The following is a 17906-nucleotide window of genomic DNA, read 5'->3' as shown; positions in this document are numbered from 1 at the left end:
AACTAGATAGACAAGGTATCCAGGGAAGGCCTCACTGAGAACTTGGCTTTTGAGTCTCACCTGAAGGCAATGGGAGAACTGACCCTGTAGCTGTCTGGGGAAGGAGCATTCCAGATGGAGGGACAGCATGTGCTGAGGCCCCAAGACAGGTTTAGGCCTGGCATGTTTGAGGAGCAAGGAGGATGTTATCATGACTGGAGCTGAGTGAACAAGGCAGAGAAAAGCAAAAGGTGGTTTCAGAGAGGTAATGGGGATGAGGGAGAGGCAGCTTATAGCCCTGTAGGTTTCAAAATGCAATTTGGCTTTTACACTGTATGTGATGGAAAGCCATCCACGTATTAATAATGGAGGGGAGACAAGGTTTGTCTTAGTTTTACAGGATCACTCTGACAACTTGGAGAATAGTTTTTATTCGTATATGATGAATAAAGGGAGAATAATTAGTAGGCTATTCCAATTATGTAAGTAACAGATAATGGTGGTGATTTCACCATCCTGGTGGTAGTAGACGTGGTGAAAATTAGTTGGATCTGGCTGTTTTCAGGTACACGCTGCATGTTTTCCTATTTGATAACGCTGTGCAGTGGAAGATAAATATGAGTCAAGGACTACACCACGTTTTCTGGTCTTCCTTTGAAGATTTTCTTAAGAGAAAACAATTCCCAGTGAAAACCATAGATGACAGAGTTGGGCTCTATACTCAACGCCTAGATTGGGTATAGAATATTAATGAAGTGATCTCTAGAAAATGAGAAACTGACCCAGAAATTCACTGATAAATGGTTGTTATCGGCCTCCCCGCTCTGGATAACTCTCATAGCCATTATATCGGAAACCACTGATATGTTATTTTGGCAATGGGCCAACAGGTACCCCAAAGGGAGTTTGTCACTGATTTAAAACCGTTAGTGAAAAATTTAATGTATGGCTGTTCAAAAGTTCTTAGTATTCAGACAGAGTTTAAACCTGTATTCTGTTTGGATAAAGGACAGATGTTTATACTGCAGTAGATTTGTTCAAAATTCATTACGTATATCACGTCCCATTTCCTGTTCCCCAAGCCCATGTGATATTATTGGTCCTGAGGATACATGAGTTAAAATGTAAGAGAGTTTCATATTAATGATCAGTGATGGGATCACACTCACACAATTGATCAGTCTTGGTCTGTGCACTCATCACAGTTAAAGAGATATGGTCAGAATCCTCCAACTCTTTTCCTTAGGTCACTACTGGACATAGAAGTTGACACTGTGGAATTCAAAAGTTTTTTTTTCCTCTCAGAGATTACAGTACATTCCCTAATAACTCATTTCCTATATTTATTTTTGGTAAGTAATGATTGGTTCAAGCATATCTGTAATATTTTTGCTTTCTCTTTCAGATTGAAATTGTACCACATCTCAAGATAACTTTACAGTTATGTTACAGTTAATGGCTCAGAGGACTAAGAATGAAAAGTCTTCTTTACTCTTTGCAAGTTTGTAACCATTTGAGAGAACAGCACCATAATGACACAACTGGAAGTCAAAATATCCCCTTTGTATTTAATAAAAGCTGAACTGGAGGACATGGCTAGATAGGGGGCTTCAAGGACTTCCTAATATTTCACCCAAACACAAGCATAACTGGATAACTATGGACATCTCTGGTACGGCCATAAAGCTTATCCTGTGTTTGAGAATGAATTAGAGTGCCTATTCTGTCCAAAAGAAATAGACCCGGCCGGGCGCGGTGGCTCACGCCTGTAATCCCAGCACTTTGGGAGGCCGAGGCGGGTGGATCATGAGGTCAGGAGATCGAGACCATCCTGGCTAACAAGGTGAAACCCCGTCTCTACTAAAAATACAAAAAATTAGCCGGGCGCGGTGGCGGGCGCCTGTAGTCCCAGCTACTCGGGAGGCTGAGGCAGGAGAATGGCGTGAACCCGGGAAGCGGAGCTTGCAGTGAGCCGAGATTGCGCCACTGCAGTCCGCAGTCCGGCCTGGGCGACAGAGCGAGACTCCGTCTCAAAAAAAAAAAAAAAAAGAAATAGGCCCAAGAGATAAACGGTTTTTCACATGTCCAACTCCTCTCACACTCACCAATTAGAAAAGTCTTTGAGAGATATGCAGCCAGGGGAATTAGGGTGCTATTTGGCAAATGCTATACACAGTACTTCATAGAAACAAAATGGAATTTTTTAATTTTATGCAGTTAATATGTTGTACAATATACCTGAGAATAATTTGCAATGTATTGTAGTTAGAGGTTAGATATTTTCAGTGTGGCTTTAATGTCCTTTTAAAAATCAATTTTGGAGGCATCTGAGATAAACTATGAGCTGCTGAGCTCGCTTGTTTAAATAAGTAATAGCACATATTAAAGAGGGGCCTCACAAAGTGAGAGCATGATTCCACTGACTCCCCTAAAATCTTCTTGCCTCTGTCTTGAAGGAAGTAAACTATACCACTGATTGACCACAGGAGTGGCTAAGTAAAACCACTAGTTTAAAAGACACTAAACAGTGGGCACATGAAAACTCTTTAACTAAAAATCACTAAACTTTAAAATGTTGAATAAAATATGACAGACCTCCTTTTAAATGTATAGCTGAGCTTTTAATAGTGTGAGGGAAGTCCACAGGGATCAACAATTAAGAGAGAACTGCAAACAACAGTAGTAAGCACATAACCTGATGCTTTGGCAACATGGAAGGAGAGGGGTGCTGTTTCAGTAACTAAAGGATTTTAAAAAGAAGATAAGGCCTTAAGTTCAATAAATTTGACTGTTGGAAACTAAAATCTTCTCACCTGCCTTTCAACTCTCCATACAATAGCCCGAACTATCTTTTAAAAATGTAAACCAGATAATGCCGCCCTCCTGCTTAGAATGTTCCAAAGGCTTCTTATTGCAGATGATATACAAAACAATCTTCATGCCTTATTCTGCATGCGCTAGATCATGCATTCTCAAACAGGATGATATTGCCCCCAAAAGGGGGAAATATGATTGTTGGTGTGAGAGGTGGAATGATATGAAGTTTTACAATGATTTGTGTCCTCCAAAGCTCAACTGTATTTGATAAAATCTTATACTTTAGAACTTAAATCACTCTTGTTTTCTTGGATATTACAGAAGCATTGCCATTGAGCTCATGGAAGATACATGAAATGTATGCAAGACCAGCACTACAAAATCATAGCAAATAGATGACTTTGATTGTAGGACTTTTCAATCTATTGCTCATTCTTGAAGTCATATGTCAAGAAGTGGCCTTTGTGTACCTACTGGCTGCCACTGACTGACTATGTTTGATCCTCGGTGTCTTGTGTGTGACTTGGGCTTTGAAAATTAAATAAAAGTAGTTAATATTTAACTTTACAGAAGTTATTTAACCCATCATTATTTATGTCAAGTACTAAAAAGAAAAAATGATAATGTATGAATATCTAGCTGCTAGTTACAACTGATTTTGTCATATGAAGGAAAAGTGAAAAGTTAAATTCACAAAAATAACTTTGAAGAAATTAATTTAATGTTTTCCATTGTTTCACCTTTGCTAGAAAAATGTTGTGAATAATTTTTTAAATGTGATTACATTACTATTATGTATTTACATAAATTGCCAATTTGCATACATAAGTTGACTCATTATAATTTATGTAAGTACATAAATTCCATTAAAAGTCACTTAGCAAATACAGTTATACAGTTAAGTTAGATATTGCTAGCTTTCTAATTTTTAATTTAACTACTACCTTCAAATTTTATTCATACTTCATCCTGCATACAGGTTGATTATGTATAAAGTACAGATATACATGCATTTATTGACTAGATCATACAGTACATCATTGGTATTCAAATTTCATGAGGGGACAATTAGGAAAAAGAAAAAAATCCTTATAAAGTCATCTAGTGGGGAGGGGACAATAATGAAATAAGAATGAAGAAGCAGTGCTCTATCTGATCTCACTCTTTTCTGATTCAAATATGGTCTCTGTTTTCACTATATATTACAGCCATACTAACATTTTTCTATTCTCAAAGGCAAGAAGCTTGTTTCCACTTCAAAGTCTTTATGCTAGAGTTATTTCTTACTCCCAGAGCTTTTCATAACTTTTCATAACTGGTTGCTTCTCATATTCAGGTCTTAACTCAAATATCACCTGTTCAGAGATTCTCTCCTTCTACCCCATAACCTTGGTTTTTCTTGCTCTGCAGTACTTATCACTATGTGAACTTGTCTTTTAGATGGTTTCTTTATTTTCTGTCTTACTCCACTAGAATATAAACTTTGAATGCAGGAATCTTGTCTATCTAATTCATTCTAGTATTGTAGTGCTAGGAAAGGGTCTGGAACATAGGAGACACTCTATAAATACTTGTTTAGTAAGTGAATTATTGCATGACAATTTTATATTTTCAAATAACCTATTATAAATCCCCTTTGCATTTGTTGGTCCTTTTTCCTGTATTGCCAGTTTTCTTTCCTATTGTTTTATTTTTTCACAAAACTTAGACATAGGTTTTGCTATATAGTCTACTAATTTTCTGTTATTTCACTTCATCAGTCTCTGCATATTTTAGTTATTTCCTTTAAGTTTCCATGACTATCTATGATGATAATTTCTAGCTAATTTTTAAGGGAAATAGTCATTACTATACATTTGTCTTTGAATAGAGTGCTGGCTGTAACTGGCACATTTTAATATGTTGTGTCCTCATTGCTATCATTTCTCAGGTTCTCTGTTGTTAATTTTTTAAATTTTTCTTTTTGATTCAATAACTTCTTGGAAGATTGCTAAAAATTTATGAATACTGGGGGAAGGCCAGACAAAGCACATATATATTCTTAAATAAAAGAGAGTCTTCTTTATCTGGAAAGGTTCTTTTACATCAGCACGGGTAACGTTAAGAAGGAAGAATATGGCAACATTGAGAAAAGACAAAGATACCTACCTCATCAGCAAAATAGGCACCATCAACCCTCAAAATAGATGGAATGAGAAATGTCACAATTGGATTGCATTCACTTGTTATCACAGCATTGTTTGAAATAGCAAAAATAGCTGGGGGAAAATCTTGAATGTCTATCAATACCAGAACTTTTGAATACATTGTGTTTATGTATCATTTGAAATATTATACAATTATAAAGAAGATGTTTTAGAAATATATATAGATGTGTCATTGCACACAAATGTAAAGAGTATGATCCCACTTACGTTAAAAAGTGAGAAGGACTTCCAAATTCCTATATTTACGTTTATATTTATATATTGTTGTAATAACATAGAAAATGGTTTGGAAGAATACATACCAGGGATTTAACATTGGTTAAGTGTGATTGAAGGTGGAACGTGAGAACACTGGGACATCCTGAGAGGTGGCAAGGAGAAAAAGGAAATGAGATAGAGAAAGGTCTATTTCATTCATTATAGATCTTTTCATTGTCATAAAGATTGCAGTAAACCATACTAATTTTTGGTAATTTTGAAAGATGGTCTTAACTAATATTAATGCATGACATTTAAAAAATAAGTGATTAGAATGTTATTTTTTATTCTCATAAGATTGAATATCAGGATCACCTCCTTAAGACAAAGAAATCTAAAGTATATGGAAAATAGATGTGAGGTGGAGAGACTGGAGTCCGGAAGCCTACCTCTTCCTATGAGGAAAATATAAGAGGCTCATCACTTTGCTGACAGCATTTATTTAGGGAGTTATTTGCTAATCCTGGTATATTTTTTCTTATAGTGCAAATTAGAATGATGCCTTTTTACCTCATGCTTGTTTTTTAGATAGCTCCTTATTCCTTATCTGCAACTGAATACTGGATTTTTTAAGTCTGGAAGTAAGGTCCCATTTCCTGATATGGGAGCTGGTTGTATGAATGAGTGCCTGAGAATGTATTGTTTCATATAACTTAAAAGTATAACGGTATTGTCTAGGGATACTATATCATTTAAGTCTGGGAACGCTAAGCCATTTAAGATGCCTTCAACTGCAAGTAACAGAAAACCCAGAATCAAATTGCTTTAACTATAAAGAAATTTGTTACCTCATAACTTGGAGTCAGAAGTAGGACTCCAGGGATGGTATGATCAGCAGCTAAACGATAAGATCAAAGTGCACGGAGTATTCATATTCTCTCTTCTTCCATCTTCATTACATAAGTATTGCCCTCAGGATGATTACAGATATTCCAAAGGTCATATAAAGATATAGCATCATCCTAAAAAAGAAAAGGTAACATTATTTCCTGCTTCTCTTTCTTAAGAGTAAAGATTTTTTTTTCAGAAGTCTTCCAGCAGACATACTATGATGCTTAATTGACCAGGATTAGATCACATGCCCAGTGCCAAATCAATCACTTGCAGGAAGAATGGCATCACCATGACTAGCTTAGACTAACCTTTTAAAGTGAGATGAATATTCAAAAGTCAGTCAGTGGCCATGACCACCTACATGTACAAAATGTGTCACTAGGACAGTCTCCCTCTTTTTGCATAGCCTGGCTCCATTCTCTTCTTTGGGGTGCCTTCATTCTCAGTCTATTGATGATAGTAAGCTGAATACAGCAGCTTAATCCTCATATCCTTTCAGGTTCACTCTCCTCCAACGGAAAATGCCTCATGCATAGCAGTTTGAGTCTCATTGGCTCTGACTAGGTTGAATGCTTATTCCTAAACTAATCATTGTAACAGTAATTCCATACTCTGAAAAGTCAGGCTTATGTTGTTCCCAAGAGGAAAACTGTGGCACTATTACCAGAAGAATGGTGATAAGATGCTAGGCTGCAGTATCAATTGATGTCTATTACAGTTAAATATATTTTGCAGCTCAGCATCTATATAAACCTTTCTAGCCATACATACATGTCCAAAGATCTCTCTAATTTTTACTTTGGCCAACTACTGATAGAGTATGAATTGTTGTCTATTTGGAAAATATCTTTGCAAGAATAACTGCTACCTTAACTTTTTAGACAACAGATTAGTTAATGATTGTTTTTGAACTTCAAATAAATTGAATAGAATAATGTGTGCCCCTTTGTTGTCTGGCCTCTTTTTTAAACATATTTCAGAGATTCATTTATGTTTTTGCATGTAGTTGTAGCTTGAACATTCTCACTACTGCATGATATTCCAATGTATGAATATACCCCAACATATACAATATACTGCTGATGGAAATGTAGGTGTTTTGTAGTTTGAAGTCATTACAAATAGTTAAACACATTTTTTTCTTTTTCAAACCACTACTGAGGTATGATTTACATACACAAAGCTGTACCTATTTAATGTATACAACCTAATGATGAACACATGCATTTTATAATAAAAAATAGGGTTTGAGATTTCAGTAATAGGAGACTAAACAATTCAAAACAACTTTCCCTGAAATCTGAACAAATTAACTAAATCTGAACAAATATAGTAAAAAAGAAAATCCACTCTCAATGGCATCTAAAAGCTGAGAAATACGAAATAATTACCTAGCTGAGATAGGAGGAGAACAGGTCCAAGAGGCAAACAGGGCATTTGGTGGATGTTTTTCTACTGGCAAAGTTTACCCATTCTAGAGGGAACCACTGAAAGACTTTGATGCTCAGCAGAACTTGTGACTGCTTGTTAAATACATGAATACAGAATCTGGAGTTCAGAACCTTGGTAACCCCCCAACCCCTTACTTTTCATTGAAATTCCAGGGTTGAAATCTTAGGAGTAACAGTTAACCACAGCTTTAAAAAAGCCCTCACTGAGCTTCATCCCTGGGACGCAAGGCTGGTTCAACATATGCAAATCAATACACGTAATCCAGCACATAAACAGAACCGAAGACAAAAACCACATGATTATCTCAACAGATGCAGAAAAAGCCTCTGACAAAATTCAACAGCACTTCGTGCTAAAAACTCTCAATAAATTAGGTATTGATGGGACGTGTCTCAAAATAATAAGAGCTATTTATGACAAACCCACAGCCAATATCATACTGAATGGGCAAAAACTGGAAGCATTCCCGTTGAAAACTGGCACAAGACAGGGATGCCCTCTCTCACCACTTCTATTCAACATAGTGTTGGAAGTTCTGGCCAGGGCAATCAGGAAGGAGAAAGAAATGAAGTGTATTCAATTAGGAAAAGAGGAAGTCAAATTATGCCTGTTTGCAGATGACATGATTGTATATCTAGAAAACCCCATCATCTCAGCCCAAAATCTCTTTAAGCTGATAAGCAACTTCAGCCAAGTCTCAGGATACAAAATCAATGTGCAAAAATCACAAGCATTCTTATACATCAATAACAGACAAACAGGGAGCCAAATCATGAGTGAACTCTCATTCACAACTGCTTCAAAGAGAATAAAATACCTAGGAATCCAACTTACAAGGGATGTGAAGGGCCTCTTCAAGGAGAACTACAAACCACTGCACAAGGAAATAAAAGAGGATACAAACAAATGGAAGAACATTCCATGCTCATGGGTAGGAAGAATCAATATCGTGAAAATGGCCATACTGCCCAAGGTAATTTATAGATTCAATGCGTTCCCCATTAAGCTACCAATGACATTCTTCACAGAATTGGAAAAAACTGCTTTAAAGTTCATATGAAACAAAAAAAGAGCCTGCATTGCCAAGTCAAACCTAAGCCAAAAGAACAAAGCTGGAGGCATCACGCTACCTGACTTCAAACTATACTACAAGGCTACACTAACCAAAACAGCATGGTACTGGTACCAAAACAGAGATATAGACCAATGGAACAGAACAGAGCCCTCAGAAATAACACCACACATCTACAACTATCTGATCTTTGACAAACCTGACAAAAACAAGAAATGGGGAAAGGATTCCCTATTTAATAAACGGTGCTGGGAAAACTGGCTAGCCATATGTAGAAAGCTGAAACTGGATCCCTTCCTTACACCTTATACAAAAATTAATTCAAGATGGATTAAAGACTTAAACGTTAGACCTAAAACCATAAAAACCCTAGAAGAAAACCTAGGCAATATCATTCAGGACATAGGCATGGGAAAGGACTTCATGTCTAAAACACCAAAAGCAATGGCAACAAAAGCCAAAATTGACAAATGGGATCTAATTAAACTAAAGAGCTTCTGCACAGCAAAAGAAACTACCATCAGAGTGAACAGGCAACCTACAGAATGGGAGAAAGTTTTTGCAATCTACTCACCTGACAAAGGGCTAATATCCAGAATCTACAATGAACTCAAACAAATTTACAAGAAAAAAACAAACAACCCCATCAAAAAGTGGGCAAAGGATATGAACAGACACTTCTCAAAAGAAGACATTTATGCAGCCAACAGACACATGAATAAATGCTCTTCATCACTGGCCATCAGAGAAATGCAAATCAAAACCACAATGAGATACCATCTCACACCTGTTAGAATGGCGATCATTAAAAAGTAAGGAAACAACAGGTGCTGGAGAGGATGTAGAGAAATAGGAACACTTTTACACTGTTGGTGGGACTGTAAACTAGTTGAACCATTGTGGAAGTCAGCGTGGCGATTCCTCAGGGTTCTAGAATTAGAAATACCATTTGACCGAGCCATCCCATTACTGGGTATATACCCAAAGGATTATAAGTCATGCTGCTATAAAGACACATGCACACATACGTTTATTGCGGCACTATTCAAAATAGCAAAGACTTGGAACCAACCCAAATGTCCAACAATGATAGACTGGATTAAGAAAATGTGGCACATATACACCATGGAATACTATGCAGCCATAAAAAATGATGAGTCCGTGTCCTTTGTAGGGACATGGATGAAGCTGGAAACCATCATTCTCAGCAAACTATCGCAAGGACAAAAAACCAAACACCGCATGTTCTCACTCATAGGTGGGAATTGAACAATGAGAACACATGGACACAGGAAGGGGAACATCACACAATGGGGCCTCTTGTGAGGTGGGGGTAGGGGAGAGGGATAGCATTAGGAGATATACCTAATGTAAATGAGGAGTTAATGGGTGCAGCACACCAACATGGCACACGTATACACATGTAACTAACCTGCACATTGTGCACATGTACCCTAGAACTTAAAATATAATTTAAAAAAATAAAAATGAAAATAAAATAAAAAGCCCTCACTGAAACTATGACATATCTGCAAATTGCTTTCCATAAAAATTGTATAAACTTTCACTTGCATCAGCACTAGATATGAAGCTTTTTCATGATCAATGACATTAAGTAATATTTTAATGTTCTTTCATACTTTGACTGTTGAATCGAGATTATTATTACTTCTATTTTTCCTTGTAGATGTTATTTTATTAAGTGTAGTTGTTCTGTTAACATCCGACTCATCCCCTCATTCAAATACCATAAGTATCTGAATAAGAAAGATACCATTAAGCATTGTTTTGTTTACAGAGTTTTTGGTTGGTTCATTTGCTTTCTGTTCAATTTTATTTTGCTGCTTTTTACCTTTTAATAAATCAAATATTGATACTGGTACAACATTAGTATACAACCTTTCTCAAAATATTTAAATAATTATTTCAACATTCCTTAAAGAATACCCAACGTTTCTCCACTGATTTATAAAACTATAACTTTAATTATTTCTTATAAAGTTATTTTTTTGCAAAGCTTTCTATTCCGATACATAGATCTGATTACTGGTTATTGTGGAAATATTATGTCAAATGCCCAGTACTGGGAGAAAAGCCAAATTATAAATCACTTTAAAATTGAGTTTTACGGACCAAGTGCAAGATATGTAACAGGTGCTCAATAAATATTTGTTGAATGAAAAAATCGATTAGAAAACATCTAATTTCCTGGAAAAATTAATAGACATGAATTGCAGATAAAAAACAAATCCCAGTTTTGCAAAAGTTTAGGAAAAAGGAAAAAAAACTATGAGCATTAATATTTTGCTGTGAGGCCCTCAAAAATGGGAGATGGGACTGCAGTTGATGATTTTCCTCTTAATATTAATTTCCTAAAATGTAGATAGTGTTCACGTTGTACATGCAATTATCTTGCAATAAAGAAAAGGAAAAAAAAATCCCTCGAAAACAAAAACAAAAATGCCAGGAAATATCAGTCAGCAAAAATTAGGTAGAGACTGGGTCAAAATGGCAGACTTACCATAGTGAATTTCTCTGTTCCAACTCCAAATCCTTTCAAAAAGAGGAAAGACATATTTACGTGTAAAGAATAAATCCATAAGGGCATGGGACGGTGCAGGGGCAGGGGTGGGCGCGGGGGTGGGCGCGGGGCGGCAGCAAGGCGAATTCCAAGAAGATGGAAAGCAGGGCAGGCAGACTAAGAAGGTGGAGGTGGGAACCAAGTGGCCCTGAAACGGGTGAGGAAGGGGCCACAGGGTTCCGAGGACGACTGTGGCACGAACTACTCCGGATTTGGAAAGAGGCGGAGTCAGAGCCCATAGCTCCGCCGGGGCTACAGGCTGTGTGGTGGGCGTGGGAGCCTGGTGGAGAGGAGAGCCGGGTGTTTGACAGGAAGAGGAGGCCTCTCTCTGGGCAGGAAGCTGCGCTACGGAAAGAGGGAGGAGACTGCCGCGGCGACAGCAGGGACTGGTGGAATCCCGATGTGGCTGAGGGGCCGCCACCGCCAGCAGGGAGGCGGAGGGCTAGCGAGCCAAGCGGTGGGGACGCCGCTGCCTTCCTCTTTGCCTGTCTCGCCGCCCTCCTAGACACGCTCCTCATCTACGGATCCTACCCTCCCCGCTCTTGCAAGCATTCACTCGGCCGGTCGCCTGCTGACCCTCCTTCGCCACAGGCTCGTAGCGGAGGCAGCAGCGAGGTGTCCGATTTGGGCACGTGAGGCCCGCGATCCCCGGCGGTGGACGCCAGGCAGGGCAAGGCCATTAGTGGGCGCCAGAATGGAGAGGGGGATGGGAAGGAATCCAGCAGGAGACATGGGGTGGAGTTGGGCGCCAGGCAAGGGTGGGGTGGGGGAGTGCGGTGAGCAACATGAAAAGGGGGTAGGAACGGGAGCCAGACAAGGATTTGAAGGTGAGCGCCGGGAAGCAAGGGCGGTGGGTACCAGAGAAGTGGTTAGGGTAGGCAGGGGGTGTTGTGGACAGCAGCTGGGACGCTCAGGGAAGGAGGGCAGTGGGTGCCGGTCAAGGCCTCTTTGCAAGGGGATTGGAAGTGGACGCCAGTGGTAGCAAGGGGTTCCGGGAGGGCAGTGGGCTCTGAGCTAGGAGGAGGTGGCCCAGCCACTTCTGCAGAGTTCCTAACCCCAGACAGCTCTACTGCACCACCCCAGCCCTTCCCCACAGCCCAAAGGAACTTAAGAGGGAGAGCACTGCGGGCATGCAGCCAGGATTTCCAGCATTGCTTCCAGGCTCCTAGGGGAAACTTAGGCACTAGCGCAGACTACATCCAGACATGGCTATAGGGAAAAGTTTGCCTTGTGGCACACTGGGTGTGTCTCTCTATCCTCTCTCCTCCCCCAGCAGGCATGAAGACCCCCAACGCACAGGAAGCCGAAGGGCAACAAACCAGGGCAGCTGCAGGACGGGCCACTGGGTCTGCAAACATGACAAAGAAAAAAGTCTCCCAAAAGAAGCAGAGAGGCCGACCTTCATCCCAGCCCCGCAGGAACATCGTGGGCTGCAGAATTTCTCATGGATGGAAGGAAGGAGATGAGCCCATCACGCAGTGGAAAGGAACCGTTCTGGATCAGGTGCCTATAAATCCCTCTCTTTATCTGGTGAAATATGATGGAATTGACTGTGTCTATGGACTGGAACTTCACAGAGATGAAAGGGTTTTGTCTCTTAAAATTCTTTCTGACAGGGTGGCATCATCTCACATTAGTGATGCCAACCTTGCAAATACCATAATTGGCAAAGCAGTGGAACATATGTTTGAGGGAGAGCATGGTTCTAAGGATGAATGGAGGGGGATGGTCTTAGCTCAAGCACCTATCATGAAAGCCTGGTTTTATATTACCTATGAGAAAGATCCTGTCTTGTACATGTACCAGCTTCTAGATGATTATAAGGAAGGTGACCTCCGCATCATGCCAGAATCCAGTGAGTCTCCTCCAACAGAGAGGGAGCCAGGAGGAGTTGTAGATGGCCTAATAGGTAAGCATGTGGAATATACCAAAGAAGATGGCTCCAAAAGGATCGGCATGGTCATTCACCAAGTGGAAGCCAAACCCTCTGTGTATTTCATCAAGTTTGATGATGATTTCCATATCTATGTCTACGATTTGGTGAAAAAGTCCTAACTGTTAGGGTAAAATTTGGCACATGTGTGGAAACAAATGTATAATTTGTAGACATGCAAAAAATGTTGCCTTTCAGTGTATTGAAAGCTTATGGAATCCCTGATAACTAAACATCTTTGCCAGCATTAACTGTTGTTTTGCTCTAAAAAATACAAACTTGTGTGTACATGACATGCTGTGTGTAAGCCCTTTGTCTTGTTGAAAAGATCGGGTGTGTTTGGTGAATGGGGCATGAAAAGAAGGAACAGCTATCAGAGAGCTTGTGGCTTAGAGGAAAATACACAGAATAAATTGAGTAGAGAGGAACACAAAGAACCTTAGAAGAGGTCCAGAGTAAAGAGGAGAAGGATCAACCTGACAGGGTCTGTGGAGAGGATAAAGGATACTCAATGGAAGAGGCTATGTGGGTTAGAGTGTTAGAGAGGTTAGAAGAAGAGGGCCACTGAGGAAGAAGGAGTTCAAAGAAGAAAGACTGACAGAGGGATTGGGAATACAGGAAAAGAGTTGTGGGGTGTGGGGCCCATGAGAGATCGGAAGGCCCAGGAAAATGTTGGACTTCTGGTAGTGTCCACATTGCTCTTCCTGGCTCTATGCACAAAGGAAGTGGCATCTGTCAAAGATGCCAGATACATTGGAGGTTCCCTAGAAGGGCATTCTGACAAGGATGACTCAGTAAGGTTAATCAGGAGGAAAGTTTATACCCGTAAGGCTTTTCCTGTTTCAGGGAGTTCAGGACGCTCCTACCCAGCAGAACCCCAACCCTCAGCCTGAACACACTAACACGGTTCCCCACATGTGCTGGGCTGCGGGCTGCCTCCTCACATTTGTCCTGCGCTAGATAAACAATATTGGTAGAGGATGGGTTAGTGGGTCAGAACTTAAGAGATGTGCCATCTTGCATTTGGAAAGTACTTTACCCAGAAAAAAATGGAACCTTACTGAACTCAGGTACAGCAGTCTCATCACACCGGTTCCTTCTGCTGGAATGTTTGTTTTCTATCTAGAGACGAGGGGCATCAGAAGATTGAGCCTAGTGTTTCTCTCCAGGTTATGGGGAGTTCCTGACTGTCCACACTTCTTTCAGCAGCTGCCTGAAACCACAGGTGGTTCCGACAAATAATCCACTAAAAGAGGCCTGCTGTCCCAAGAATCCACATTCTGGTTAGACCTTCCCCACAAAGCTGGTGTCTGCAGACCCCTCACAGGCACCTGTTGGCCAGTCTTGCCTACCCCAGCTCACAGAGACCTGTGATGGAATTCTGGTCAGCTCTTTGTTTCCAGGTGAGGCAGATGCCATGGGGCAGTTGGGCTGGGAGTTGTGACTTGGTATAACTAACTCATTCAGCTGTATAATGTCACAAAAAAGGGTCAAGGCTGGTGGGGAGAGGGAGCAGCAACCCACAAAAAGTCCCTCAGAACTATGGTGTCTGATGCAAAGATAGATCTGTGTCTTTCTCTTCCTCCCCTCCTTGCCTTTCCCAAGTCTTTCTCCTGTAGCCCATCTGAAAACCCTCTCACTGCTTTCTGCAACCACACCGTTCACTAAATTATACCTCTGACCCCAAGAAAGAGTGCTGGTGACTCCCTGCTGCCCAGGTTACCCTAACTCCATGCATAGTGGGAGATGCAAGGAGCTTCCAGGAGTTGAAAGAAGGTGGTAAATAGAGTTTATTCTCTCCACCCAACATGGCCTGAGGCTGACTGCCTCAAGAATTACACAAGGCAAGCCTACCTCACCGTAGCAAGGATTAATTTTCTTGTGTACATCACACAATTTCGTCCAACAAAATCCAGCAAGGTGCCCAGGAACCAGTCTCAGACAGCTGCCAGGTTATTTTCATCTTTGTGTTTTTATTGTTTTCTATTTTTAATTAGGTACTTTAGACATTTGAGAGATTTCACACGATGAAAATTTATGTCTCTGGCATCTCCTGAAATTGAAACAGAATGACAACAACAACAAAAATGTGAGGATCAGGGCCCTCATTCCAAAAAGGATACATGCAGCTGGGCCTTAGGTAGGTCTCAGTCCAGTTTAGACTCCGAATACCCTCTCCAGTTGGCCACACCCCCAGCTGGCCTGCTTTACTCTAATAAAATGCACAGTCGTTCCCTGGAAGCGTTTGCACTTGTAACTGGGGCCACACCCTGGAAAAACTGCCCCTTTGACTTGCTTTGATCCCATTTGCTTTTTAATTTACTTGTTTTATCTTTACCCCACAAATACTTACTTCAGGTGGGCTCTCTGCCAGGCACTCTTCTAGGCACAGATACTGATAATGTAATAATGAACAAAAAAGCAAACTAAAATTCTTATCCTCATGGAGGTTTCATTTTAGTGTGGGGGACAGACAGTAGCCAAAATAAGTAAGCAATTATAATGTATTTTCATAGTGTCTAGTGTTAAATAGAAAAACATAAAGCAAGGAATTGGGATAGAAAATTTCAGGAGGGAAGCTGAAACTAGATAGACAAGGTATCCAGGGAAGGCCTCACTGAGAACTTGGCTTTTGAGTCTCACCTGAAGGCAATGGGAGAACTGACCCTGTAGCTGTCTGGGGAAGGAGCATTCCAGATGGAGGGACAGCACGTGCTGAGGCCCCAAGACAGGTTTAGGCCTGGCATGTTTGAGGAGCAAGGAGGATGTTATCATGTCTGGAGCTGAGTGAACAAGGCAGAGAAAAGCAGGAGGTGGTTTCAGAGATGTAATGGGGATGAGGGAGAGAGGCAGACAGCTTATAGCCCTGTAGGTTTCAAAATGCAATTTGGCTTTTACATTGAGTGTGATGCAGAGCCATCCATGTATTTATAGTGGAGGGCATACAAGATTTGTCTTAGTTTTACAGGATCACTCTGACAACTTGCAGAATAGTTTTTATTAGTATATGATGAATAAAGGGAGAATAATTAGTAGGCTATTCCAATTATGTAGATTACAGATAATGGTGGGTTTCAGTACCCTGATGGTAGTAGACATGGTGAAAATTAGTTGGGTCTGGCTGTTTTCAGGTATACCCTGCATGTTTTCCTATTTGATAATGCTGTGCAGTGGAAGATAAATATGAGTCCAGTACAACACCACATTTTCTGGTCTTCTTTTGAAGATTTTCTTAAGAGAAACAAATTCCCAGTGAAAACCATACATGACAAGTTGGTCTCTGTACTCAGTGCCTGGATTGGGTATAGAATACTGATGAAGTGATCTCTAGAGAATGAGAAACCAACCCAGAGACTCATTGATAAATTGTTGTTTGCCCCTCTGGATAACTCCCCTAGCTATTATGTAGGACTTTGTTGCCTGATATTGAGAATTGAGTCAGCCAAAAACATTGGAAGTTTAATGTTATGAGACACAGGCAGCCATTATACCACACAGAATCGAAAGTAAATGCTAAGCCTTGCTAATGGTACAGTGCAGCTCTGTCACTACTTTGTCAGGCACAGCTGCTATAAGGAGAAAAATCATTAGAAATGGGGCAAGTGATCTCTGTGCTTAATGGAGATCAAATTCCATATGCATCCATCTTAGTAGGTTGGAGAATTTTCATGAGGGAAAGAATCAAGCTTTTATAGCTCTGTTAGATATGGATGCCCAAGTAAACTCTTCTACTGAACTCCTGGAAGGAGAAAGCATCCGAAATTAGGTAACAGGGTTTGGCCAGGTTTACAGCAGGAGAAAGAAAGAAGCCAATATGACCTTGTGAACAAAACTTTTTAGGCCAATTCTGCGTACTGATGCTGCTACCTTCACATCTGAATATCACTGGGAACTGATGCTTGTATTTCCCTGTTTCATAAGTGGCAGATGAAATTTCACCATACACAGATAAGTACGAGTGGGACACATAAATTTATCTGTCACCAGGTTTCCTATCGCTCCCTGGTTGATCCAACACAAAGTATAGAATTCTAGGAAGAAAAAAGAAAATCTGTGCCCTGAGTAAATATTAATACCTATAGGAGGCGGTAGTAAGAGATCCAGGATCTTTACAGAACAGCCTTGTATGCCCAGTGCAAAATCTAACCGGAGCTGAAGGCTGATAGTGGAATATTTTCAAATAAATTCAGTTGTTTCTCCAGTGGCCCCAGCTGTTGCAGACATCTTGACTCTATCTGAATCTACTACACAGACTAATAGAACATGGTACACTGTTTTAAACATTGACAACACTTTCTTTCCCATACTAGCATCTGAGGATTAAGAGCTGTTCACATCCATGTGACAAGGCCTCTAATACATGTTTGTTGTACTCCGCCAGTGTTACCTAAACTCCAGTGCCATTTGCCAAAATTGGATAGGTTAGAATTTGGTGGAAGTTCTTCTTCATTCAGATTTCCAAAAGTTTCACTATACATGACATCCTGATGGTTGGCAGTCAGAAGCCTCAGTCTCAATAGCCCTACCTAGCTGTGGTATTATCACACATCCTCTAGGAAGAATGACTGAAAGTCTCCAAAAAAAAAATCAGGATTAATATTGAAAATCACCAGCAAAATTCAGGAGTAATGTTGTTTGCCAGTAATGTCTCTTGCTTGCCAGTAATGTTTCCTGGAAGTATGTAGGCAAATTCACAATAAAACCTCAGGCAAAGAAAAACTGTCTCTTCAGCACCCCCACCACCAAAAAGGAGTTTCAGCACCTAACTAGATT

The 17906-nt window shown here is 40.3% G+C and overlaps 2 protein-coding genes across 13 annotated transcripts in view, besides 2 other annotated features; one reads left to right on the top strand and one right to left on the bottom strand.

Moving 5' to 3' along the window:
* The window catches only part of FAAH2 (fatty acid amide hydrolase 2), a 367606-nt gene extending 356089 nt beyond the window's left edge, over nucleotides 1-11517 (bottom strand). Inside the window, exons 1-2 of the mRNA XM_011530767.4 lie at nucleotides 11141-11517; nucleotides 6050-6223 (exon numbers count right to left, since the gene is read on the bottom strand). The gene's annotated coding sequence lies outside the window, so the exon portion shown is untranslated. The remainder of the gene's footprint in view (nucleotides 1-6049; nucleotides 6224-11140) is intronic.
* Nucleotides 11273-11392: a silencer, noted in NCBI's record as "silent region_20870". NCBI's record gives its function as "represses an Ori minimal core promoter by ATAC-STARR-seq in GM12878 lymphoblastoid cells {active_cell/tissue: GM12878}" and the evidence as "EXISTENCE:reporter gene assay evidence [ECO:0000049][PMID:35858748]".
* SPIN2B (spindlin family member 2B) lies at nucleotides 11560-13426 on the top strand. Of its 12 annotated transcripts, none has more exons than XM_047442139.1 (3): nucleotides 11560-11657; nucleotides 12477-12703; nucleotides 13007-13426. In XM_047442139.1, the coding sequence occupies exons 2-3, from the start codon at nucleotides 12479-12481 to the stop codon at nucleotides 13253-13255; spliced, it is 474 nt and encodes a 157-aa protein (XP_047298095.1). In that variant the 5' UTR covers nucleotides 11560-11657; nucleotides 12477-12478; the 3' UTR covers nucleotides 13256-13426. The 12 variants fall into 12 exon arrangements, with proteins under 12 accessions (XP_047298095.1, NP_001269391.1, NP_001269390.1 ...); NM_001282462.2 differs by having other exon boundaries at nucleotides 11560-11815; NM_001282461.2 differs by having other exon boundaries at nucleotides 11560-11870.
* Nucleotides 14615-15814: an enhancer, noted in NCBI's record as "MED14-independent group 3 enhancer chrX:57143727-57144926 (GRCh37/hg19 assembly coordinates)". NCBI's record gives its function as "activates an origin of replication core promoter dependent on BRD2, BRD4, P300/CBP and CDK7 cofactors, and independent of MED14, by STARR-seq in HCT116 cells {active_cell/tissue: HCT116}" and the evidence as "EXISTENCE:reporter gene assay evidence [ECO:0000049][PMID:35650434]".

This window comes from Homo sapiens, chromosome X (assembly GCF_000001405.40).
Source record: "Homo sapiens chromosome X, GRCh38.p14 Primary Assembly".
NCBI lineage: Eukaryota > Metazoa > Chordata > Mammalia > Primates > Hominidae > Homo > Homo sapiens.
Note: the sequence above shows the minus strand (reverse complement) of the source record. Positions and strands in the feature narration are given on the sequence as shown.